The sequence below is a fragment of the Homo sapiens genome, chromosome 2 (assembly GCF_000001405.40).
Source record: "Homo sapiens chromosome 2, GRCh38.p14 Primary Assembly".
Lineage (NCBI taxonomy): Eukaryota > Metazoa > Chordata > Mammalia > Primates > Hominidae > Homo > Homo sapiens.
In genome coordinates this window covers 23,967,415-23,992,014 of record NC_000002.12, presented here as the reverse complement: position 1 = coordinate 23,992,014, position 24,600 = coordinate 23,967,415, and the positions used below count along the sequence as shown (strand labels likewise).

General features: G+C 42.5%; 1 protein-coding gene across 10 annotated transcripts in view; it reads right to left on the bottom strand.

Moving 5' to 3' along the window:
• The window catches only part of UBXN2A (UBX domain protein 2A), a 77,632-nt gene that overhangs the window by 12,895 nt on the left and 40,137 nt on the right, over nucleotides 1–24,600 (bottom strand). For 9 of the 10 annotated variants that reach the window (XM_005264168.6, XM_011532633.4, XM_005264166.6 and 6 more), the window contains 4 exons: nucleotides 20,601–20,739; nucleotides 14,940–15,046; nucleotides 8,982–9,119; nucleotides 7,184–7,342 (listed from right to left, as the gene is read on the bottom strand). In XM_005264168.6, the coding sequence (XP_005264225.1) occupies nucleotides 7,184–7,342; nucleotides 8,982–9,119; nucleotides 14,940–15,046; nucleotides 20,601–20,739 (543 nt within the window). Of the gene's footprint in view, nucleotides 1–3,369; nucleotides 4,538–7,183; nucleotides 7,343–8,981; nucleotides 9,120–14,939; nucleotides 15,047–20,600; nucleotides 20,740–24,600 lie in introns of those variants that run through there. The other variant, XM_047443581.1, reaches the window with a different exon arrangement.

Genomic DNA, 24,600 nt, shown 5'->3' with positions numbered 1-24,600 from the left:
GGCGACAGAGCAAGACTCCATCTCAAAAAACAAAACAAAACAAAAAACCCCAAAAATTAGCCAGGCGTGGTGGCAGGTGCCTATAATCCCAGCTACTTGGGAGGCTGAGGGACGAGAATTGCTTGAACCCAGGAGGCAGAGGTTTCAATGAGCCAAGATCATGCCACTGCACTCCAGCCTAGGCAACAGAGTTGAGACTGTCTCAAAAAAACAAAACAAAACAAACAAACAAAAAACAAAAAAGGCCGGGCACTGTGGCTCACGCCTGTAATCCCAGCACTTTGGGAGGCCAAGGTGAGCGGACCACCTGAGATCAGCAGTTCGAGACCAGACTGGCCAACATGGCAAACCCTTTCTCTACTAAAAATACAAAAAAAATTAGCCAGGTGTGGTGATAGGCGCCTGTGATCCCAGTTACTCAGGAGTCTGGGGCAGGGAGAATTGCTTGAACCTGGGAGGCAGAAGTTGCAGTGAGCCGAGATCACACCACTGCACTCCAGCCTAGGCAACAGAGAGAGACTCCATCTCAAAAACAAAACAAAACAAAAAAGACAGAAAAAAATATAATATATATATATGTATATGTGTGTGTGTGTGTGTGTGTGTGTATAAAATAAAATATAAAATCACATGCATTTCTTTTGTTAATCTGTCTTTTGTTAAAGGGGTCTCAGCCATGAATCTAGGCAATGGGCGAAGAAAATCTTTTCTCCCCAACAAAGTCAATTAATCAGAAAAACACAATTTCATCTCTGCTGGACCCAATTATATAACTTTAAAATATATAAAGCAAACATTGACAGAAGTAAATAAGAAATAGACAAATCCATAATCATAGTTGGAGATTTTAGCACAACTTTCTTGGTAACTAATAAAATAAGCAGAAAAAACGGAAGAAAAACACAATTTTTTAATGATTCAGTCCAAAAGCCACCAAGCCATTAGTAGGACAGAACATGGGAGGCATCTATTTCAGAAATGCTGGGAGTTGTGGTGGCCCATATAAGAGCTGTCTAGTGTAGGATGTCAGAGGCCAAGTGGGGTGAGGAAAAATATCCAAGCTGGTGGGTAGGAGAAGAGTAGTCATGGCTTAGTAGCTTTTAAGGACAGTTTTACTTTTTTAAACCTGACATGAATGGAATCATAGTGTATGTGTTCTATAGCTTTATCTCTACATTATGTTTTTGGGACTCATCCATGTTTATGTGTGCAGCCATAGCAAATACTTTTTTTTTTTTTTTGAGATGGAGTCTCACTCTGTCACCCAGGCTGGAGTGCAGTGGTGTGATTTCAGCTCACTGCAACCTCCACCTCCTGGGTTCAAGCCATTCTCCTGCTTCAGCCTCCCAAGTAGCTGGGATTACAGGAGTGGGCCACCACACTCAGCTAATTTTTGTATTTTTTGTGGAGATGGGGTTTCACCATGTTGGCCAGGTTGGTCTTGAACTTCCGACCTCAAGTGATCCGCCCCCCCGCCCCCCCGGCCTCCCAAAGTGCTGGGATTTCAGGCCTGAGCCACCACGCCCAGCTGCAAATATTTTTTGATTACTGTCTTCCATTATAAAAATAATTATTCAGTCTACCTTTATGGGTAACAGTCCAAGTTTACATGGCTGAATCAGTCAGCTATTGCCCAGTAAAAATCACAACAGAGCAGGTTGTCCCAAGCAGAGTAAAAAAGCATTCATATGGAAGAGCAGTTGACTGCAGTGTGTCAGAACCAGACAGTGGTGAGGAGAGCATCTTAGAGGCAGCCCAGAATGTCAGTCTACCAAGCAGAGGAGGTCACTGGCATAGAGTCCTCAAGTCAAGCAGTGTGAGAGGGCATTCCAGTGAAGGGGTGCCCTGGGGTGATGATGTGTCAGAGAGCCTAGCAGGAAGAGGAGGGAATCCATATTGGAATTCAACAAGGAGAGTCAAAGCCCAAGCAGTGTGAGGAAGGCTTACATGTGGGGTAGGAGGCAGCAGTGGAAAAAGGACATTGGTCACATATAGGAAAACTGATTAAATAAATGTGTTAATTATAACTGGAGCCAGGCCTTGCACTGTAGAAGTTAGTTACAAATATGGAAAGGAGAAAATTAGAACAATCCTTATATAGATATTTTTTGAGACAAGGTCTGGTTCTATTGCCCAGGCTGGAATGCAGTGGTGCAATCACAGCTTATTGCAGCCTCAACCTCCCCAGGGTACAGGTGATCCTCCTACTTCAGCCTCCCGAGTATCTGAGACCACAGGTGAGTGCCACCACGTCTGGCAACTTTTTGTGTTTTTTGTAGAGATAGAGTTTCACCATGTTGCCCAGACTGGTTTTGAACTGCTAGGCTCCAGTGATCTGCCCGCCTTGGCCTCCCAAAGTGCTGGGATTACAGGTATGAGCCACCACGCCTGGCCCTACCAGACTGAAAGTGGATGTATCTACGTGGATTCACGGTTTTTGATATATAAAAATATAGAAATAAGGCCGGGTGTGGTGGCTCATGCCTGTAATCCTAGCACTTTGGGAGGCCGAGGCAGGTGGATCGCTTGAGTCCAGGAGTTTGAGACCAGCCTAGGCAACAGGGTGAAACCCCCTCTCTATTAAAAGTATAAAAACTGAGGAGGATCACCTGAGTCTGGGGAGGTGGAGGCTGCAGTGATCTGTAATTATACCACTACACTCCAACCTGGGAGACAGAGTGAGACCCTGTCTCAAAAAAAAAAAAAAAGGAATAAATACAGATATAAACTTAAGTGCATATATATACATACACACACACACACACACATATGTATATGTATAGGTTTTTTGTGTGTGTCTTTGTTGATTTTGGTATCAGGGTAATGCTGGCCTCATAGAATGAGTCTGGAAGTATCCCCTCTTCAATTTTTGAAATAGTTTTCTTTTTGGCGTGTGTGTGTGTGCGTGTGCACACAAACAATTCTTTTCAAACAGAGGGCCTGGAAGCAGTGGTATCCTGATAAGCAATAAGCATATCTAGTACCCAGATCCTGGATTGTCAATACCGCTGTCCACTAAAAAGAACTAGGGATTCCTGGAAAAGCGTAGAATGAACTTGAAAAAAAATTTTGTGCTGAAAACAAGGAAATGTTCAAGAATTATGGGACCATTTCAAAATAACACAGGAATCAGTTTAAAGGACGTCTCACAAACTGTACCTGAGACAATGTGCATATCAAAATAAATAATGATGGTAAGAGTTCATAAACTATTGAATAAAATAGCAAACTATGAGTAGGTATAGACACAAATCAATCAATCAATCAATCTGAGGTCTTGTGAGCAACATAAGTATCCTATTTCAAAGTCCTTCCCACTAAATACAGATTAATTACAAAGGGAAAATGAGTAACTTTACAGTAAAGGACTCTGGTAGACACCACTTTAATCGAGTGTCAAATTTAACATCATCATAATGGGACAAATGTAAATGATGCCACCTGTTGGAATACAATGAGAGGTACAAAGCATTAGTTCTGTCACACCCCTGCCAAAATTAGTGACCTAAATATAATCATGAGGAAGCATCAAACAAAACAAATTGGCTTGTAATATTTTAAAAAGTCAAGGTTATAAAAATCAAAGGAAGACAAGGAACTATTTCAAACTGAGATACGACAACTAAGTGCAATGTGTAATTCTGAATGGCCTTTTGCTATAAAGGAAGGTATTAGATAAAATGGAAAACCCTGAATTAGGGTCTATTAGTCGATACAAGCGTATTAAGGTTAAGTTTCCTGATTTAAATGGCTGTATTGTGGTTATGTGGGAGAAGTTCCTTGTTTACAGATAATCTATACCTAAGTATTTCAAGTGATGGGTCATCAGACTGGCACTAACTCTTGAATGCTTAGGGAGAAAAGTTTTTTCTTTCTTTTTTTTTTTTTTTTTGAGATGGAGCCTCACTCTGTCACCCTGGCTGGACTGCAGTGGCACGATCCCAGCCCACTACAACCTCTGCCTCCCAGGTTCAAGTGATTCTCCTGCCTCAGCCTCCTGAGTAGCTGAGATTACAGACATACGCCACGACGGCCAGCTAATTTTTTGTATTTTTAGTAGAGATGGGGTTTTACCATTTTGGTCAGGCTGGTCTCAAACTCCTGACCTTGTGATCTGCCTGCCTCGGTCTCCTAAAATGCTGGGATTATAGGCGTGAGCCACTGCACCTGGCCAAGAAAAGTTCTTTATATTGTTCTTGAACATTTTCTGTAAGTTTTTTTTGTTTTTTTTTTTTTTGAGATGGAGTCTCGTTCTGTCCCCCAGGCTGGAGTGCAGTGGCGCGATCTCGGCTTAATGCAAGCTCCACCTCCCAGGTTCACGCCATTCTCCTGCCTCAGCCTCCCGAGTAGCTGGGACTACAGGCACTTGCCACCACGCCCGGCTAATTTTTTGTATTTTTAGTAGAGATGGGGTTTCACCGTGCTTGCCAGGATGGTCTCCATCTCCTGACCTCGTAATCTGCTCACCTCGGCCTCCCAAAGTGCTGGGATTACAGGCGTGAGCCACCGTGCCAGGTCCTTTTTCTGTAAGTTTTTGCTGGTTTGAAATTCAGAGTAATTATTTGGAAATAAGCAAAACAATTTAGTCTATTTTAGCAATACATATATACTAGGTAAAGCTATAAATAAAAGCAGCAAATTATCAACACAAATTTAGGACAGTGGTTATTTACCTCTTCCACAGAAGAAGAGACATGATCACAGAAAGACACATAAGGTATACTGATAAGAATCTATGTTTTGAGGTAGGTGGTACATATGTATTTTATTCTTATTCTTTTAACTCTCTCCCTATATTTGTTATTTATCTGTACCACATTTCCTGAAAAAAAATTTTTTTAAAAAAAGAAAAATTACATATGCTATATATGACATGTTTCTATTTTTAATTAAAACAAAACAAACTTTTTTTTTTTCCTTTTGAGACAGGGTCTTGCTCTGTCACCCAGGCTGGGGTACAGTGGTGAGATCATGGCTCATCACAGCCTCAACCTCCGGGGCTCAGGTGATTCTCCCACCTCAGCCTCCTGAATAGTCCCCAGCCTCCCAAATTGCTGGGACTACAAGAATGAGCCACGACACCCAGCCAAAAAAAAGCTTTTAAGAAGGCTGGGCACGGTGGCTCATGCTTGTAATCCCAGCACCTTGGGAGGCCGAGGTGGGTGGATCACCTGAGGTCAGGAGTTTGAGACCAGCCTGGGCAATATGGCAAAACCCCATCTCTACTAAAAATACAAAAATTAGCCAGGCATGGTGGCACGTGCCTGTAATCCCAGCTACTCAGGAGGCTGAGGCAGGAGAATCGCTTGAACCCGGGGGATGAAGGTTGCAGTGAGCTGAGATCGTGCCACTGCACTCCAGCCTGGGTGGCAGAAGACCCCGTCTCAAAAAAAAAAAAAAAGCTTTTAGGAAGAGATAAAAGACTGGAAAAATGCATCAAACTGATACTATTGATTATCTCTGAGTGGTGGAATTCATATTAACTTCAATTTCTTTTAATGTTTTTCTGTATTTTCATTCTTTCACTATAATTGACAGAAGGATATGCATATAATGCTAATGACTAATTTAAAACATTAAAAATAATTCTTTTATAATTATGCATCTACTTAAACAGAAAAATGAATCAAATGATGAGAATGAAAATCCTAAAACAGACTGAAAATACTTCATTATTATTACTATTATTATTATTATTATTTTTTGAGATGGAGTCTTGCTCAATCGCTCAGGCTGGGGTGCAGTGGCGCAATCTCGGCTCACTGCAAGCTCCGCCTTCCGGGTTCACGCCATTCTCCTGCCTCAGCCTCCAGAGTAGCTGGGACTACAGGCGCCCACCACCACGCCCGGCTAATTTTTTTTGTATTTTTAGTAGAGACAGGGTTTCACCGTGTTAGCCAGGATGGTCTCGATCTCCTGACCTCGTGATCCACCCGTCTCGGCCTCCCAAAGTGCTGGGATTACAGGTGTGAGCCACCGTGCCCGGCCAACTTCATTACTGTTATTGTTATGATTATTTTTATTTTTTGAGACAGGGTCTCAATGTCACCCAGGCTTGCAGTGTAATGGTGCAATTCGGCTCACTGCAGTCTCTACCTCCTGGGCTCAAGCAATTCTCCTCCCAAGTAGCTGGGACTACGGATGTGCATCACCATGTTCAGCTAATTTAAAAAAATTTTTTTGTAGACACGAGGTCTCACTATATGGCCCAGGCTGATCTTGAACTCCTGAGCTCAAGTGATCCTCCTGCCTTGGCCCCTCAAAGTGCTGGGATTACAGGCATGGGCCATTGCACCTGGCCTACCTCATTCAATGTTTAAAAATACCCATTATCAGCTGGGCACGGTGGCTCGCGCCACTCTACTCCAGCCTGGGTGACAGAGTGAGACCTTGCCTCAAAAAAAAAAAAAAACTGTCTAGACATAATTATGTTTAGAGAACTATTTATTAAAATGTTTGGCCAGGCTGGTCGAGGTGGCTCACTCCTGTAATCCTAGCACTTTGGGAGGCCAAAGCGGGCAGATCACTTGAGGTCAGAAGTTTGAGACCACCCTGGCCAAACTCCTGGTGAAACCCCGTCTCTACTAAAAATACAAAAATTAGCCGGGCTTGGTGGTGCAAACCTGTAATCCCAGCTACATTGGACGCTGAGGCAGGACAATCACTTGAAGCTGGGAGGCAGAGGTTGCAGTGAGCTGAGATCGTGCCACTACACTCCAGCCTGGGCAACAGAGCGAGACTCCGACTCAAAAAAATAAATAAATAAATAAAATGCTTGGCAGGATGCGATGGCTCATGCCTGTAATCCCAGCACTTTGGCAGGCTAAGGCAGGACGATGAATTCAGTCCAGGAGTTTGAGACCAGTGTGGGCAACACAGTGAGACTCCCTTTCTACAAAACAATTTTTAAAATTAGCTGGCAATAAATAAAAATTAAAAAAAAAAAGTTAGCTGGGCATGGTGGCATGTGGCTGTAGTTCTACAACTCAGGAGGCTGAGGTGGGAGGATTGCTTGAATCCAGGACTTCAAGACTGCAGTGAGCTATGACTGTGCCACTGCACTCTGGCCTGGGCAACAAAGAAAGATTCTATCTCTAAAAAATAAACTGTTGACTGAACCAAAAAGAAAAAATGAAATTTTAACTTGGTGAAAAAATATCAAATACTGAAATTGAAGACTCACCTATGAGTAATGTTAAATTTCTGGACAATCCTTTTTCCATTGGCCAACCAGATCTGTATATTAGTAATGGGTTCCAAGTTGTTCAGTGGAACAGCAGACAAATTATTTTTATTTTCAACTTCAATATTCTTTGCTTTAGAAACAATTTTTGGTGTGGCACTAAGGAAATCCAGACAACAAAGTTAGACGTTTTTTCCATTCAATAAAACTTTATTATTAAATAATTACTATAAAAATATTATAGCAAGTATAACTTTAAGGAAGATTTTTTAAGTTATATGTGTTTCTTCAGTAATAACAGAAAGATATATTATTTATGTCCACAATATATGATGGTTCTAAGAATCTGATGAAGTTATACATATCTGAGTAATTTGTAAGCTACATATATTATTACTGGTATTATTTGAGTAGTGCTTTACAGAATGGATAATTTTAAAGAAGGTTCATAGATCTATGGACTTTACCTTTACCTACTGCCCAGGTTAAATTTCTAGAAGAAATTATAAGTTCTTTATTGAGCTTAGTCCTTAGGTTATAATGAAAAAGAAACTAAATAAAGTACTTCCTGATCATTCTGAAGGATGCATCCAGATATATTTGTATGTGTGGATGAATATGTATGCACCTTACCAATCTTGATAATTTAAAATATGAGAATTTATAAAAATCAAAGAGCTCTCATATCTATATAATCTCTCTGCATATTCTGTTAGATAGGATGGAAACTGTAAAACTTGAAAATAATTTAAGGCTTTGATACTGACACTGATTTTCATTTTTATTACCTCAAAATTCATACATAGATCACAGAACAAAATGTTGCAGACAGTGGTAACCATAAAAGAGAACAATAGGCTGGGTGCGGTGGCTCACACCTGTAATCCCAGCACTTTGGGAGGCCGAGGTGGGTGGATCACCTGCGGTCAGGAGTTCAAGACCAGCCTGGCCAACATGGCGAAACCCTGTCTCTACTAAAAATACAAAAATTGGCTGGGCGTGGTGGTGTATGCCTGTAATCCCAGCTACTAGAGGGGCTGAGGCAGGAGGATTGCTTGAACCAGGGAGGCAGAAGTTGCAGTGAGCCAAGATCATGCCACTGCACTCCAGCCTGGGCAACAAAGTGAGGCTCTGTCTCAAAAAAAAGAGAACAATAATATTCAAAAGCTAGTACATGTACTCTACAGTGGTGAGTGCAAGGGACACAAAAGAACTTAACTATTGAATTCTGTCCTTAATAAGCCAAGCCCTTTTGATTTGAAAAAAAGAAAAACAAAAAAGCCTGCATGATTTTTTACTGTATTGCTGGCATTTCTTTTTTTTTGAGACAGAGTTTCACTCTTGTTGCCCAGACTGGAGAGCAATGGCGCGATCTCGGCTCACCGCAATCTCTGCCTCCCAGGTTCAAGCGATTCTCCTGCCTCAGCCTCCCGAGGAGCTGGGATTACAGACACATGCCACCACGCCTGGCTAATTTTTTGTATTTTTAGTAGAGACGGGGTTTCTCCATGTTGGTCAGGCTGGTCTCGAACTCCCGATCTCAGGTGATCCGCCCACCTTGGCCTCCCAAAGTGCTGGGATTACAGGCATGAGCCACTATGCCTGGCCAGGCATTGTTAATATATACTTAGGTAACTATGACTTATGTGTCCTCATAAAAATTAACATTAAAAAAAATCTGATTTCCAATGGGAGAAATGATAAGCTCCATTCATGTGGTCTACATGGGTAAAATACTGATAGACAGAATATTAGTTAAGCCTTGATCTATGCAAAACAAGACAATAGGCATATTTACCTTCCTAGTCTGTGACCCTGTCCTGAAAAGGGCTGGAACACAGGCTTCGTAGACAAACATATTTCATTTTTCTTGTCTTCAACTTTAACGTCCACCTCTTCTTTATCAAAAATTCCCTGTAATTCTGAAGGTAATTCCCTTGGAAAACAAAGAAAGAAAATGATAAAGCTCCCAATGTATTTTATTTCTCTGAAAAACATTCTGTACATACAAAAAATGAATATGTAGAAATATACAGAAATATATAATATTCTATACAATGAAATAACTAAATGTATTCAAAACAATGTAGTTAAATAATATGAATACCAAAAACCCACAGGAATATAATTTTTAAGACCATAAGCTCATGAACAGCATCAGTTTTTATTATTTTTTATTGTGAAAGCATATATTTTTTAAATTTTCTGTAGAGACAGGGTCTTGTCCAGGCTGGTCTTGAACTCCTGGGCTCAAGCAATCTTCCTCCCTCAGACTCCCAAAGTGCTGGGATTATAGGCGTGAACCACTGCCCCCCAACCAGCATGAGTTTTATAGCAGTACCTAAAATAGTACTAAAGTCATGAAATACTTGATGACTATATACTACACCAGGCTTGTCCAATCTGTGGCCTAGGACGGCTTTAAATGTGGCCCAACAAAAATTTGTAAACTTTTTTTTTTTTTTGAGACGGAGTCTTGCTCTGTCGCCCAGGCTGGACTGCAGTGGCACGATCTCGGCCCACTGCAAGCTCCGCCTCCCGGGTTCACGCCATTCTCCTGCCTCAGCCTCCTAAGTAGCTGGGACTACAGGCGCCTGCCACCACGCCCAGTTAATTTTTTTTTTTTTGGTATTTTTAGTAGAGATGGAGTTTCATCGTGTTAGCCAGGATGGTCTCGATCTCCTGACCTTGTGTTCTGCCCGCCTCAGCCTCCCAAAGTGCTGGGATTACAGGTGTGAGCCACCGTGCCTGGAAAACTTTCTTAAAACATTATGAGATTTATGAGACTTTTTTGCAATTTTTTTAAAGCTTATCAGCTATCGTCAGTATTAGTGTATTTTAGTATTTTATGTGTGCCCCAAGACCATTCTTCTTCCAATGTGGCCCAGGGAAGCCAAAAGACTGGATATCTCTGTTAAATAAATAATTTGAGTTTCTTGTTTTTGGGACAGGGTCTCATTCTGTTTCCCAGGCTGGAGTGCAGTGGTGCAATCATGGCTCCCTGCAGCCTTGACCTCCTGGGCTGAAGCGATCCTCCTGCCTCAGACTCCTGAGTAGCGGGGACTATAGGCCACCATGCCCGGCTAATTTTTGTATTTTTTGTAAAGATGGGGTTTCACCATGTTGCCCAGGCTGGTCCTGAGCTCCTAGGCTCAAGTGATCTGCCCACCTCAGCCTCCCAAAGTGTTGGGATTACAGGTGTGAGCCACCACGCCCGGCCAAAGGACAAATTTTAACAAATTCTAATAAAGTAGTTGATTTATTCTGAAAACGGAAATAATACAAATTCATTTAGTATATATTTATGATTTCTGCACTTTTCTATTTTTTTTTTTTTTTTTTTTTTTTTTTTTTTAGATAGGAGCTCACTCTGTTGCCCAGGCTGGAGTCCAGTGGCAACAACATGGCTCACTGCAGCTGCGACCTCTTGGGCTCAAGCGATTCTCCCATCTTAGCTTCCCAAGTAGCCAGGACTATAGGTGTGTGCCACCACGGGTGATTTTTTTAGGTTTTTTTTTTTTTTTTTTTGTAGAGACAGGTTCTCGCTATGTTGGCCGGACTGGTTTAATTCCTGGGATCAAATGATCCTCCTGCCTTGGCCTCCGAAGGTGTTGAGATTACAGGCATTAACCACTACACCTGGCCTACCTGGCCTGTACCTTTGTGTATATAAGCCATACTTCAATAAGAAAGTTTAAAAAATATTTTAGTGAATAAATACCACTGTATACATATAGCAATTCTAGGTAATTGTTTTATTTTTTTCTGTTTGAGTTAAAAGGCACTCAAAGAATGAGAGAAAATATTCGCAAATCATGTATCTGATAAGGAATTTGTATTCAGAAAAAATGAAGAATTCTTACAACTTAACAAAAAGGCAAATAAACCACCTGAAAATATAAACAGGCTGAGCACGGTGGCTCATGCCTGTAATCCCAGCACTGTGAAAGGCCGAGGCGGGTGAATCACGTGAGATCAGGAGTTCAAGACCAGCCTGGCGAACATGGTAAAACCCTGCCTCTACTAAAAAACAAAAATTAGCCGGATGTGGTGGTACATGCCTGTAATTCCAGCTACTTGGGAGGCTGAGGCAGAAGAATCACTTGAACCTGGGAGGCGGAGGTTACAGTGAGCCGAGATCATGCCACTGCACTCCAGCCTCGCCGACAGAGCAAGACTCTGTCTCAAAAAAACAAACAAACAAACAAATAAAAAAACTGGACAGAGGATTTGAACAGGAATTTCTCCAAAGAAGATGTACGAATGGACAATAAGCACATGAAAAGACACTCAACATCACTGGTCATTAGAGAAATGTAAATCAAAACCAGAATGACATACCCCTTTACAACCACTAAAATGGCTATAATTTAAAAAAACAGAAGCTAATGTGTTAGGATGTGGAAAAACTGGAAGCCTCATACATAGCTGGTAGAAATGTTAAATGGTACAGTCACTTTGGAATACATTTGGGCAGTTCTTCATAAAGTTAATATAAGAGTTAACAATTCCACTCCTAGATTTATACCTGAGAGAAATGAAAACATATGACCACACAAAAACTTGTATATAAATGTTCATAGTAGCATTATTCATAATAGCCCAAAATGTGAAAATGAGTAGAACAGGTAAATACATAGTGACAGAAATCCATAGAGATAGACAGAAAGTAGATTCATGGTTATGTTAGGGCTGCAGGGGAAAATGGAGAGTGACTTCTAGTATCTGATTTTTTTTTCTTTCAGCAATATATTCGGCTTTTTCAATAATGATATTCTGAAATTAGATTGTGCTGATGATTGTAAAACTGTAGACATATTAAAAATACTTAACTATATACTTCAAAGGGATGAATTTTATGGTAGGTTAATTATATCTAAACATAGCTGGGTTTTTTTTTTTACATAAATAAAAGAAAATAGTCAAAAATATTTTTCATAGTGGTAAAATTTAAAATACTTGGCTGGGCGTGGTGGCTCACGCTGGTAATCCCTGCAATTTGGCAGATCGAGGCAGGAGGATTGCTTGAGATCAGGAGTTTGAGACCAGCCTGGGTAACACAGCAAGACCTCATCTTTACTAAAAATTAAAAAAAATTAGCTGGGCATGGTGACATACACCTATCGTTCCAGCTATTTGGGAGGCGGAGGTAGGAGGACCACTTGAGACGGGGAGTTTGAAGCTGCAATGAACTATGATCGTGCCACTGCACTCCAGCCTCAAAAAACATAATAACAAAAAACTCTATGTTGCCAAGAACAATTAAGTATATATAAAAATTACGGGGCACTGTTGTGATAAAATAATACTCAGATATATTCAAATATTTTATAATGATGAATTTAAAATTGTTTTAAAAATAAATGTACACATAGTATATATGCATCTATGGACAGAAAATGATAAAATGAAATTCAACAAAAATGTTAACAGCAGTTACTTCAGAGTGGTTAAATTATAAGTGATTTTTAAGTTCTTTTTTTTTTTGAGACAGAGTCTCGCTCTGTCGCCCAGGCTGGAGTGCAGTAGCATGATCTCAGCTCACTGCAACCTCTGCCTCCTGGGTTCAAGCAATTCTCCCTGCCTCAGCCTCCTAAGTAGCTGGGATTACAGGCGCCTGCTACCATGCCCGGCTAATTTTTGTATTTTTTAGTAGAGATGGGGTTTTCCCATGTTGGCCAGGATGGTCTTGAACTCCTGACCTCAGGTGATCCACCCACCTTGGCTACCCAAAGTGCTGGGATTAGGTATGAGCCACCATGCCTGGCTGATTTTCGAGTTCTTAATACTTAAAAAAATTTTCTAGACCAAGCATGTATAATACTTAGATTCATAAATATATAGTAAACATTGCAATTTTTTTTTTTTTGAGATGGAATCTGGCTCTGTTACCCAGGCTGGGGTGCAGTGCTGTGATCTTGGCTCACCACAGCCTCTGCGTCCTGGGTTCAAGCAATTCTCCTGCCTCAGCCTCCCAAGTAGCTGCGACTAACAGGCACGTGCCACGATGCGTGGCTAATTTTTGTATTTTTAGTAGAGACGGGGTTTCACTATGTTGGCCAGGCTGGTCTTGAACTCCTGACCTCGTGATCCACCCGCCTCCGCCTCCCAAAGTGCTGGGATTACAGGCGTAAGCCCCCGTGCCCAGCTACAATTTTTTTTCTTTAAAACAAAATTTTTTTTTTTTTGAGACGGAGTCTTGCTCTGTTGCCCAGGCTGGAGTGCAGTGGCGTGATCCTGGCTCACTGCAAGCTCCGCCTCCCAGGTTCAAGCCATTCTCCTGCCTCAGCCTCCCAAGTAGCTGGGACTACAGGTGCCCGCCACCACACCTGGCTAATTTTTTTGTATTTTCAGTAGAGACAGAGTTTCACCGTGTTAGCCAGGATGGTCTCGATCTCCTGACCTCGTGATCTGCACGCCTCGGCCTCCCAAAGTGCTGGGATGACAGGCATGAGCCACTGTGCCCGGCAGATTCTTTTAAAATTTTTATTCATGAATCGGGCAGCCTCCCAAGCCAGAGTAGGGTCAGAGAGACTTCTACCATGACCATTTTAAAGACTTTAAAGATATTTAAACATTTAAACAAAATTAAATAATAAAGAAAATGAGGTATTAGAAAATACTTAGTAAAGTAAATTAGTTTAAGTAAGATTTGGGTTGATCAGAATTCAAGTTCCTAAACTTTCTTCAAAATTATATTTGTTGGCCAGGCGTGGTGGCTCACACCTGTAATCTCAGCAATTTGGGAGGCAGAGGTGGGCAGATCACTTGAGGTCAGGAGTTCAAGACTAGCCTGGCCAACATGGTGAAACTGTTATTAAAAAATACAAAAATTAGATGGGCATGGTGGCACACACCCGTAATCTCAGCTACTCGGGAGGCTGAGGCACAAGAATCACTTGACCCCAGTAGGCGGAGGCTGCAGTGAGCTGAGATCATGTCACTGTATTCCAGCCTGAGCAAAAGAGCAAGACTCCATCTCGGGAAAAAAAAAATTGTAGTTGTGGTTCTCTTAAGAAAATTCATCTTATAAAAATGTGAATGTACAAAAGAAAAAGTATATCTGTGAATGTGTAGGGAGTGTGTGAACATTAAAATGGATTCTTTCACCAAAACAATGCCTAAAATATCTTCTGATTACAAAGATTACTCATTCCAGCTCGTTGTTTTTTTTGTTTTGCTTTGGTTTTGAGATGGAGTTTTGCTCTTGTTGTCCAGGCTGGAGTGCAATGGTGCAATCTTGGCCCACTGCAACCTCCGCCTCTCGGGTTCAAGTGAATTCCTGCCTCAGACTCCCAAGTAGCTGGGATTACAGGCATGTGCCACCACACTCGGCTAATTTTGTATTTTTAGTAGAGATGGGGTTTCTCCATGTTGGTCAGGCTGGTGTCTCGAACTCCCAACCTCAGGTGATCTCCCCATCTCAGCCTCCCAAAGTGCTGGGATCACAGGCATGAGCCACCAAGCCCACCCCCACCCCCCCGACCCCCGCCTTTTTTTTTTTGGAGACAGGGCATCGTGCTGTTGCCCAGGCTGGAGTGCAGTAGTGCAAGCATGGCTCACTGTAGCCTCAGTCTCCCAAGTGCAAGCAATCCTGAGTAGCTGGGCTGGCTGGTAATTTTCTTTTTTTAAGTAGAGATGAGGTCTGGCTATGTTCCCCGGCTGGCCTTGAACTCCTGAGCTCAGGCAATCCTCTCGCCACAGCCTGCCAAAGTTTTGGGTTTACAGGCTTGACCTACCACACCTGGCTACTCACCCCTTTTTGATGGAGTTCAAAAACTGCTGACTGGCACCATCGGAATAACTTCTGAAATCGTCGTTGACGGTGAATCCGTTTTTCCATAATTTTATATTTACATCTACCTGCAAAACAGTAGGAAACAAAATGCGTCATGTTAATAAAATGTAGTAGGATTGAAAGTCCTTTGAAAATTTCTTCTATCACTATTCAGGCCGGGTGGGGTGGTTCACTCCTGTAATCCCAGCACTTCGGGAGGCCAAGACAGGAGGACTACTTGAGCCTAGGAGTTGGAGACCAGCCCTGGCAACATAGCGAGACCCAGTTTCCACAAAAAATCAAAATCATTGATATGGTTTGGCTGTGTCCTCACCAAAATCTCAAGTTGAATTGTATCTCCCAGAATTCCCGTGTGTTGTGGGAGGGACCAAGGGGGAGGTAATTGAATCACGGGGGCCCGTGTTTCCCATGCAATTCTTGTGATAGTGAATAAGTCTCACGAGATCTGGTGGGTTTATCAGGAGTTTCCACTTTTGCTTCTTGCTCATTTTCTCCTGCTGATGCCATGATTATGAGACCTCCCCAGCCATGTGGAACTAAGTCAAATTAAATTTCCTTTCTTCCCAGTCTCGGGTATGTCTTTATCAGCAGCGTAAAAATGGACTACTACAACTGGCTTCATAAACATTAAAATATAAGGGGGAAGCGATGTTGGGCGAGGCACAGAATTGAGTAATCAGGAGAGAGAATACTCAGGATCATAGATTCCAGAGCAAGAGCAGTAGAGCTCCCCTAGTCGACAACCAATCCACTGAAGGAAGAAGGGTTTCACCGCAATCTTCCCTTAGAAAAATTTTAACTGGTGGGCCAGGCGCGGTAGCTCCCGCTTATGCTGTACAGTATTTACACTTTTACAGATATAAATAACAATTGATTTAATCCCCAATTGTGACACAACTATGTTAGAAGAATGGGAAGAGGTGATCTGAGGAGAGGGGGAAGGTAGAAAAAGAGCTAAATCCTTATTATGTATAATACGAAGTGAATACATAATTCAAAAATCTGAAAAATCAATAACTATCACTATTAGCATATTATCAGAAACAGAAAGCTCATGTCAGTAGAAATATCTAAGAGTTATAAGCTGTTGCCTCTGGAAAGTAGATGTGGCCAGATGTGGTGGCTCACGCCTGTAATCCCAGCACTTTGGGAGGCCAAGGCAGGTGGATCACCTGAGGTCAGGAGTTCAAGACCAGCCTGACCAACATGGAGAAACCCCGTCTCTACTAAAAATACAAATTAGCCAGGCATGGTGGTGCATGCCTGTAATCCCAGGCTGAGGTAGGAGAATCGCTTGAACCCAGGAGGTGGAAGCTGTGGGGAGATGAGATCGCACCACTGCACTCCAGCCTGGGCAACAGTAGTGAAACGCCATCTTAAAAAAACGAAAAAAGAAAGTAGATGCTAGGGTCAAGGAGTAATAAGTCTGCTTTTTAACATAAGCCTTTTTTCAACATAAGCCTTTCACAACTAATAGATTAAGTTTTAATTTAAAAAGCGAATCAGAGTGAAAGGATTTTTCACAAACACTTTTTAAAATGTCTCACGTCAAAAAATCAGCTGGGGTCTCATAATTGGTACCGCTCTCAGTCTGCTTTGACATGTTATTTTGATTGAAATGTTTTTTTTAATAACCAAACCTCATACAGTTATGTAGTTAGAAAAAGAAGTATTTTAATAGCCTTCCCAGGATAATCTTCTTTGACACTTCTTCAAAATGTAATAAGTAGTAGTAGTATCTCAAAAGTTAGTTGAGAATCTGAATGTGGAATCTGAAACTTACCAACCATCTTTTCATATACTTGTTACGTTAAAGTCTTTTAGTATATGTGATTCTTTGGCTCTTTTACTCATGCATCACTGTATAACATCATATATTGCTCATTTGGAAAATACTGGTTTTCTTGATTATGCAGATCTTCCAACTGCTGACACATTTAATTATATAAAAAAATTTATATTTATCAAAATGACACTAATCTCACTAGGAAATTCCTTAAGTTTTGAGAAGCTGTCAAGGTATGGTTGCTTTCTTTTTCTTTTCTTTTTTTTTTTTTGAGACAGTCTTGCTGTGTTACCCAGGCTAGAGTGCAGTGGCACGATCTTGGTTCACTGCGAGCTCCGCCTCCCTGGTTCAAGTGATTCTCATGCCTTAACCTCCTGAGTAGCTGAGATTACAGGCGTGCATCACCAAGCTCAGCTAATTTTTGTATTTTTTAGTAGAGAAAGAGTTTCAGCACGTTAGCCAGGCTGGTCTTGAACTCCTGGCCTCAAGTGATTCACCCACCTTGGCCTCCCAAAGCTATGAGATTACAGGCGTAAGCCACCAAGCCCAGCCTATAGTGGCAATTTTCTAAAAGTCTTATTTTCACTTAAAAAGTTGGTTAAGGCCAGGCGCGGTGGCTCGCGTCTGTAATCCCAGCACTTTGGGAGGCCGAGGCAGGCGGATCATGAGGTCAAGAGATCGAGACCATCCTGGCTAACATGGTGAAATCCTGTCTCTACTAAAAATACAAAAAAATTAGCCAGGCGTGGTGGCGGGTGCCTGTAGTCCCAGCTACTCAGGAGGCTGAGGCAGGAGAATGGTGTGAACCCGGGAGGCGGAGCTTGCAGTGAGCCGAGATCACGCCACTGCACTCCAGCCTGGGCGACAGAGCGAGAGTCCGTCTCAAAATAAAAAAAAAAAAAGTTGGTTAAATAAAAATTTATCATTTTTTGGCCAGGCACGGTGGCTCAAGTCTGTAATCCTAGCACTTTGGGAGGCTGAGGCGGGCGGATCACGAGGTCAGGAGATCAAGACCATCCTGACTAACAGGGTGAAACTCCGTCTCCACTAAAAATACAAAAAAAAATTAGCCAGGTGTGGTGGTGGTCACCTGTAGTCCCAACTACTCAGGAGGCTGAGGCAGGAGAATGGCATGAACCCAGGAGGCGGAGCTTGCAGTGAGCCGAGATCGCACCACTGCACTCCAGCCTGGGCGACAGAGCGAGACTCCGTCTCAAAAAAAAAAAAAAAATTAATCATTTTCAACAGCTACTATAAGTTGTTTTCCTTGAAGTGCCAGGCTCACTTCATTCATTATTAGAAAATATCTACCAGGCAGGGCCGGGCACGGTGGCTCATGCCTGTAATCCCAGCACTTTGGGAGGCTGAGGTGGGTGGATCACCAGGTCAGGAGTTTGAGACCAGCCTGTCCAACATGGTGAAACCCCGTCTCAACTAAAATGCAAAAATTAGCTAGGCGTGGTGGTGCATGCCTGTAATCCCAGCTACTGGGGAGGCTGAGGCAGGAGAATGGCTTGAATCCAGAAGGCAGAGGTTGCAGTGAGCCAATTGTGCCACTGCACTCCAGCCTGAGTGACAGAGCAAGACTCCATCTCAAAAAAAAAAAAAGGCTGGACACAGTGGCTCACGCCTGTAATCCAAGTACTCTTTGGGAGGCTGAGGCGGGCAGATCACGAGGTCAGGAGATTGAAACCATCCTGGCTAACACTGTGAAACCCTGTCTCTACTAAAAATACAAAAAATTAGCCAGGTGTGGTGGCGGGCGCTTGTAGTCCGGGCTACTCGGGAGGCTGAGGCAGGAGAATGGCATGAACCTGGGAGGCGGAGCTTACAGTGAGCAGAGATCGCACCACTGCACTCCAGCCTGGGCGACACAGCGAGACTCTGTCTCAGAGAAAAAAAAAAAAGAAAAAAAGAAAATATCTACCAGGCCAGGTGCGGTGGCTCACGCTTGTAATCCCAGAACTTTGGGAGGCTGAGGTGGGCAGATCACAAGGTCAGGAGTTCGAGACCAGCCTGACCAACATGATGAAACCCTGTCTCTACTAAAAATACAAAAAATTAGCTAGGCATGGTGGTGCGCACCTGTAATCCCAGCTATTAGGGAGGCTGAGGCAGGAGAATGGCTTGAACCTGGGAGACAGAGCTTGCAGTGAGCTGAGATCGTGCCATTGCACTCCAGCCTGGGTGACAGAGTGAGTTGGAATATCCATAGTCTGTATGTAAACCATTCTTTCTTGCAGAAACAATATGCCATGAAAAAGCAGACAGTTTATTGATCTCAAATAACTGCACCTTTCCTTGAGACACTTCTGTATATTGTAGAAATACTTTATGTATACTTCACATTTTGTCACACAGAATATTACCATGTGTATTCAAGGTTTGAGATATAAAATTAATTAATTAATTTATTTATTTATTTTGAGACCAAGTCTAGCTCTGTCGCCCAGGCTGGAGTGCAGTGGCGCAATCTCAACTCACTGCAACCTCCGCCTCCCAGGTTCACGCGATTCTCCTGCCTCGGCCTCCTGAGTAGCTGGGATTACAGGCACGCACCACCACACCCGGCTACTTTTTGTATTTTTAGTAGAGACAGGGTTTCACCATGTTGATCAGGCTGATCTTGAACTCCTGACCTCGTGATCCACCCGCCTCAGCCTCCCAAAGTGCTGGGATTACAGGCATGAGCCACCGCGCCCGGTCAAGAAACAAAATTTATAAATTCTACTGCATCAAGGACATTCTTAATTAAAATTAGTTTTTTTTTCCCCTTGGAAGTATACGCAAAGAATAAAGTACAGGTTGAATATCCCTTATCTGAAATGCTTGCGACCAGAGGGTTTTGAATTTCAGATTCTGAAATATTTGCTGGTTGAGCTTTCCAAATTCAAGACTCAAAATCTGAAATGCCCCCAATAAGCATCCCTTTGAGCATCATGTCAGCACTGAAAACATGTTGGATTTTGAAGCATTTTGGATTTTTGGATTCAGTGGATTTGGGATGTTCAACCAGTAACTGCTAGCACAGTTTGTTGCCACTGCCTTGATTCCTGCTAAGGTGTTGCAGTTTTACCCACCACTACTTTTGCAATATCAGTGCAAAGTGAACACAGTTATTTTTTTACCTTACCTTACCCTTACCTTATCAGTCAGGGTCTCACTCTGTCACCCAGGCTGGAGTGCAGTGGTGCGGTCATGGCTCACTGCAGCCTCAAACTCCTGAGCTCAAGCAATCCTCCCAACTCAGCCTCCCAAGAAGCTGGGACTACAGGCACATGGCACCACGCCCAGTTAATTTTTTTATTCTTTTGTAGAGATGGGTCTTGCTTTATTGCCCAGACTGGTTTTTAACTCCTAGGCTCAAGTGATCCTCCTGCCTCAGTCTCCTAAAGTGCTGGGATTATAGGTGTGCCTAGCTTGTGAACATAGTGAAAAAGGGAAACAATATCTATTATGAAAACAGTTTTGGCCTCACACCTATAATCCCAGCACTTTGGGAAACCAAGGCAGGAGAACTACTTGAGCCCAGGAATTTGAGACCAGCCTGGGCAACAAAGCAAGACCCCGTCTCTACAAAAGAATAAAAAAATTAGCTGGGCATGGTGGTGTGTGCTGAGGTCCGGGCTACCTGCGAATGCTGAGGCAGGAGGACTGCTTGAACCCAGGAGGTTGAGGTTGCAGTGGGCTAAGATCGAGCCACTGCACTCCAGTCTGGGTGACAGAGAAAGACCTTGTCTCAAACAAAACAATTTTGACCTTAGGGACCCTCTAACAGGTCCATATATTGAGAAACACTGAAAGAAAAAGAAAAGTAATAGACATTTATTTACCTGTTTCTTCTGTTCAGCGGGAGACACACATTTGGAACTAACCTTCTGAGCTTCCTCAAAAAGGCTATCAACAAAATATTCACAATTTGATTGTTGATTATTACCAAGAGGTTGATTATCAGATCCTGTTTCACAAACCCTAAACAAGATAAAGAAAAACAGGCACTATTAACTATTAGGTCTCTAAAAATTTACTTATTTTGTTCTAGTTAAGGATATTGAACTTAGATGCTACGTGCATGTCTGTAGTTCAGGCCCTCTCCTAAGTTAATATAACCTTGGGGAAGTCATTAACCCCTTTTTAGTCCAGAGCATGGTTTTCTCAACCTCAGCTCTACTAACATTTAGAAATGAATAATGCTTTGCTGTATGAGGTGTCCTGTGCACTGGAGATTGGGATCCCCAACCCCTAAGCCCATGGCCTGTCAGAAACCAGGTTGCACAGCAGGTGGTGAGTGACAGGCGAACAAGCAAAGCTTCATCTGTATTTACTGTTGCTCCCATCGCTCACATTACCACCTGAGCTCTGTCTCCTGTCAGATCAGTGGTGGCATTAGATTCCCATAGGAGCATGAACCTGTGAACTGAGCATCCAAGGGATATAGGTTGCAGGCTCCTTATGAGACTCTAATGCCTCATGATCTGTCGCTGTTTCCCATTGCCCCCAAATGGGACCATCTAGTTGCAGGAAAACAAGCTTAGGATTCCCACTGATTCTACATTATGGTGAGATGTATAATTATTTCATTATACACTACAATGTAATAATAATAGAAATAAAGTGCAAATAAATGTAATGTGCTTGAATCATCCCAAAACCATCTCCCCTTCTCCCCTTCTCTCCTGACAGGTCCGTGGAAAAACTGTCTTCCACAAAACCAGTCCCTGGTGCCAAAAAAGTTGGGGATCACTGTTGCAGAATGTTAAACAGTATCCTTGGCCTTTACCCATGAGATACAACAAGTAGGATGCACATCCCTGCCCCATCCCCAATCCCCAGTGTTATAACAACCAAAAACATCTCTTCACATTGCCAAATGCATCTAGGGGCAAAAATCTCTCTAGGTTAAAAACCACTGGTCTGGAGTAGAAAATGTGTGGTGTTTTTGTTCTGTTTTTTGAGGTTTTCTTGAGACAAGGTCCCTCTCTGTCGTGCAGGCTGGAGTGGAGTGGCGCAATTTCAGCTCACTACAGTCTCAACCTCCAGGGCTCAACCAATCTTCCCACTTCAGACCCCCAAGTAGCTGGGACTACAGGCTCCAACCACCATGTCCAGCTAATTTTTTGTAGAGATGGGATTTCACTGTGTTGCCCAGGCTGGTTTCAAACTCCTGGGCTCCAGTGATGTGCCTGTCTTGGCCACCCAAAGTGCTGGGACTACGGGTGTGAGCCATTGCTCCTGGCCAAAAATGTGTTATTTTTAAAGGGCTCAAAATGACTTTAAAAGGGATTACTATGCGTTTTTTTGGTAACAGAAAACACTTTTGAACTAAAGGGGATAATGCATCAGGAACAATTGCATTTTTGTTCCTTTGCACACTTCAGAATATTTCCCACTGAAAACATTATTTATAGTGATTTATTTATTTATTTTTGAGACAGAGTCTCATTCTGTCACCCAGGATGAAGTGCAGTTGCATGATCACAGCTCACTGCTGCCTCAACCTCCTGGACTCAAGTGATTCTCCCCCAAGTAGCTGGTTCTACAGGCACACATTGCCACAGCTGGCTGAATTTTAAAAATGTTTTGGAGAGGCTGGGAACAGTGGCTCATGCCTGTAATCCCAGCACTTTGAGAGGCCAAGGCGGGAGGATCATGAAGTCAAGAGATTGAGACCATTCTGGCCAACGTGGTGAAACCCTGTCTCTACAAAAAATACAAAAATTAGCTGGGCATGATGGTACGCTCCTGTACTCCCAGCTACTCAGGAGGCTGAGGCAGGAGAATCACTTGAACCTGGGAGGTGGAGGTCACAGTGAGCCGAGATTGCACCACTGCACTCCAGCCTGGCAACAGAGCAAATACATAAATAAATGTTTTGGAGAAAAAGGGTCTCACTATGCTGTCCAGGCTTATCGCAAACTCCTGGGCTCAAGCAATCCTCCCGTGTCTGTTTCCCAAAGTACTGGCATTACAGGTGTGAGCCACTGTATCCAGCCTATAGTAGTTTAATACTTTACTGGTTTTTATTTTGTATTTTTATTTCTTTATAGAAGAAATATCAGCTGGGTGAGGTAGCTCATGCCTGTAATCCCAGCACTTTGGGAGGCTGAGGCAGGCGGATCACGGGGTCAAGAGATCAAGACCATTCTGGACAACATGATGAAACCTCGTCTCTACTAAAAATATAAAAATTAGCTAGGCGTGGTGGTGCGTACCTGTAGTCCCAGCTACTCAGGAGGCTGAGGCAGAAGAATCGCTTGAACCTGGGAGGCGGAGGTTGCAGTGAGCCGAGATCATGCCACTGCACTCCAGCCTGGCGACAGAGAGAGACTCTGTCTCAAAAAAAAAAAAAAAAAGAAAAAAGAAAAAGAAATATTATCTAAGATTCTGTTTGCCAGGAAAAGATGGTTTCTGGTTGTTCTCTTTTGAAATCATGCAGGAAAATTTATAAAAGTACAGAAATACGATTTCTCAAATTCTATAAATAATACTTTTATAAAGTATTATAAATCATACTTTTATACCTCTTATACTGTGCCAGGAAATATAAGTTAGATACTGTTTTTTTTTTTTTTCCTGAGACGGAGTCTCACTCTGTCCCCCAGGCTGGACTGCAGTGGCGCAATCTCGGCTCACTGCAAGCTCCACCTCCTGGGTTCATGCCATTCTCCTGCCTCAGCCTCTGGAGTAGTTGGGACTACAGGCACCCGCCACCACACCTGGCTAATTTTTTGTATTTTCAGTAGAGACAGGGTTTCACCATGTTAGCCAGGATTATCTCGATCTGACCTCGTGATCCGCCTGCCTCAGCCTCCCGAAGTGCTGGGATTACAGGCGTGAGCCACCACGCCCGGCAAAGTTAGATACTGTTAACTAACCATGCTGCCACTCTGTCTCCCAAGTCTGTGATCCTAACCATGACATCTTATAAAGAACTATTCTAAGTACCTTACATGTGCCAACTCATTCAAATCCTCACAATGACCCTAAAGGTAGGTATTATTTTTATCCCCATTTAATAGATGAAGAAAAAGCTTAAGAAATTTGCCAGAGACCACAAAGCTACTAGGAGGCAGTGCTAGGAACTGAACTCAAGCTACCAATGTCTCTGCTCTTAATCACTATGCTAGACTGTCATGGAGAATAGCTATCACTGAGCCTTGGCGTGGTGGTGCACGTCTGTAGTCACTTGAGGAGTGACTTGAGGCCAGGAGTTTGAGGCTGTAGTGTGCTGTGACTGAGCCCACTAGAATGCCGTGACTAACTACTGCATTTTAGCCTGGGCAACATAGTGAGACCTCATCTCTTAAAAAAAAAAAAGGCCATCACTATATTGTTACTAAAATGCCGATACTCAGGGCAGTGCTTTAACTTAGGTATACATTTTTTTCCTTCCCTAGGTAGTCCTCTCGTATATACTCTTAAAATACTCCATATCATCACAAAGTATTATGCCTTTTCCAAAGCAATGACATGATACCTCTTACACAGAAATAGTTACACCCTAAGATGGTTTCTTATAACACTAGTGATTTTCCCCTTCCTTTAATCAGCATAGTCACATAGCAGTATAGCATATTGTCTAAAAGTCTGGGTGTTGCTGTTTGTATTTAAGTGCCTTCATTTAGTCACACTGACAATGGACAATAAACTTAACTTCTATGTGATTTGCTTTGCTTATCTGTGAAATACAGATACCACCACTCATTTCACATGGTTGTTGTGAAGATTAAATGAAAATATATATAAAAGCCTAAACATGGTATATAGTAAGTATCAGTATACATACTGGCACACAGTACACTCTCAAATATTAGTAATATCATTATAACCATT